Source organism: Homo sapiens, chromosome 13, assembly GCF_000001405.40.
Source record: "Homo sapiens chromosome 13, GRCh38.p14 Primary Assembly".
Taxonomy (NCBI): Eukaryota; Metazoa; Chordata; class Mammalia; order Primates; family Hominidae; genus Homo; species Homo sapiens.
Window position 1 is genome coordinate 53,941,067 of NC_000013.11, and position 2,607 is coordinate 53,943,673.

The 2,607-nt window shown below is 38.6% G+C and overlaps 1 annotated feature.

The window, feature by feature from the left end:
* Positions 274–1,121: an enhancer, noted in NCBI's record as "OCT4-NANOG hESC enhancer chr13:54515475-54516322 (GRCh37/hg19 assembly coordinates)". NCBI's record gives its function as "activates a minimal SCP1, AML or CMV promoter by ChIP-STARR-seq in naive H9 embryonic stem cells {active_cell/tissue: H9 hESC(naive)}" and the evidence as "EXISTENCE:reporter gene assay evidence [ECO:0000049][PMID:30033119]".

A 2,607-nucleotide genomic window follows, 5' to 3' on the forward strand; every position in this document is an offset into this window, starting at 1 on the left:
TTCTTTGCAGCAACATGGATGGAGCTGGAGGCAATTTTCCTATGCAAATTAATTCAGGAACAGAAAACCAAATACTGCATGTTCTCACTTATAAGTGGGAGCTAAACATTAAATATATATGGACACAAATGAGGGAACAGTCGATACTAGAGTTTACTTGAAGGTGGAGGGTGAGGTTTGAAAAACTACCTATCAGGTACTATGCTCATTACCTGGGTAACAAAATTAGCTGTACACAAAACCTTCGTGACATACAATTTATCCATGTAACATACCTGCACATTTACTCCTGGACCTAAAATTAAACTTGGAAAGAAAAAAAAAAAACAGAAAAAAATAGATATATAAGTATTCAATAACATGTGAATGGAAATGACAAAACACTCTCACATGAGCTCTTTATCTTTTCTGTTCATCACAAGGCTGTTTGCCTTTTCTGTTGACCTTCCAAGATGACCTCAGAAGTCTTATATTAAAGATGGTAGAATGGCTGTTAATCTGTTTCACTGGCTATCGACCAGGGCCTTGAAGTTACCCTCAGTTTGACTAAATTTTATACAGGTTTTTTCTTAACTTAAGGCTCCTGGCCTCCCTTTTCTTAAAGCATTTACTTTAGAAAACTTATAAATTATTTATCTGTCCCTTTGAGATGTAAATCTTTTTAATAGCTTCTTGCAGTTTTTCTCAGGGACCTGGGGGCCATCCCCTTGAAATGCAATCATCAAAATAAATAGAGCCACTTTGTCTCAGTTTCTATGAGAGAATAGGAACTTAATGCCAGTCCTTCCAGAGAAATAGCTGGGTACCTTGCTCCAAGTTGTAAAACTAACTATCTCCTGTGATGAAGATAAGAGAAAGTTCACTTTTCCTTTGAGTAAAGCCAATTAGCAAAAGCAGATGGCCTGTGATCTCTCCCTTGCCCCAGTTCTTAAAACACTGTTTGTTTCAGAGAAGCTGAGTCCAGACTGCTTCTGTCTCTCTCCACACAGCCAGGAAGGCTTCTTATTGCCTCCAATCCCCACCAGGACGGTTAAGTACAAAGAAATAAACTTCTAATGTTATTAAGACACTAAAATTTTGGAGTTTACTGAAGGTTAGAAGTTAGCAAGCCCTGACTATTGTAATGATACTGACAACTTAAAATAAGGTACAGTTCTAATTTTAGATAGATAGGTAGGTAGGTACATAGATAGATAGATAATAGATAGATAGAGATATCAGGCTGAAATTCTAATGACTGATATCATGCTGTGACAAAATATAATACTTGGTAAAATTGTGCTAGAGATAACTAGGAAGTCAGTCTTCTCCTCAAGAGTGTAACTCTAGGAAGGAGGCTGGAAAAACTCAGGAGGTTATTGTGCACATCACATATTGGCAACTTGTAACTTTTGGCAGGGTGTTGTTAAAAAGGTAGATTTGGGCAAGAATTGGCTGGTTTTCATTCAGAGATTCAAGAGAATGAAACATTCTTGAGGCTAAGAGCCATAAATCATTGGGAAAACCATTGACTAGTAGACCCCAAATGCTAAGAGAGAAAAGTGAAAAATGCTTTCAGGAACAAAGGTGCCTTAAGAACTCTTAGTTTAAAATGGGGACTGAATTCTGTAGCAAGCATAGGAATAAGTAATAATAAACATGTTGCTTTCATTCCCAAACCTCAGACAACTTCAGGGTAGTCATAGTTGAATAAATTGAGAGAGAATGAGAAAAAGAGACAGAAAGAGAGAGAGAGAGAGACCAATGGACCAAAAAGTAGAACTGATTCTAAACAAGGAATCTGCCCTGTTGCCAGGAAAGGGCTTCAGTACAGTGAATCCTGTAAGAGTCCATTTGTGGTTAAGTGTCCACTAATTATTAAGTTTTCCTGATTTTCTTTTTTCAGAATGAGAGTATTTACTGCTCTTATCTTTATTTCACCCATTGTTTTACACATGTTACTGCATTAGCCCATTTTCATGCTGCATATAAAGACATAGCCAACACTGGATAATTTATAAAGAAAAAGAGGTTTAATGGACCCACAGTTCCACGTGGCTGGGGAAGCTTCATAATCATGGAGGAAGGTGAAAGCCACAACTTACATGGTGGCGGCACGAGAGAATGAGAACCAAGCAAAAGGGGTTTCTGCTCATAAAACCATCATATCTCGTGAGACTTATTCACCACCACAAGAACAGTATGGGAGAAACCACCCCAATGATTCAGTTATCTCCCACTGGGTCCCTCCTACAACATGTGGGAACTATGGAAGCTACAATTCAAGATGAGATTTGGGTGGGAACACAGCTAAACCATATCAGTTACGCATGGTGGGGAAGCAAAAAGGAACCATGAACAGATCTGATGAAGAAGGTTCTGAATCACTCAGAGACTCTAGAATTGAATATGGACACAAGTACTAGATGGAACTTTGGCTAGTCTCCTTTGGGAAGGAACTGGTTATGTTCATTTTATGGGCAGAAAGGTTCACGTAGACAGAAAGGTTCTGACGTGGCAGACAACTAGCTGTTCATCAAAACCATATTCCTCTTTTCTTTGGGCATACAGCAGACTCCCAGGTGTATACGAAAGGTGTTCCACTTCACAATGGGTAAGAGTAACTTA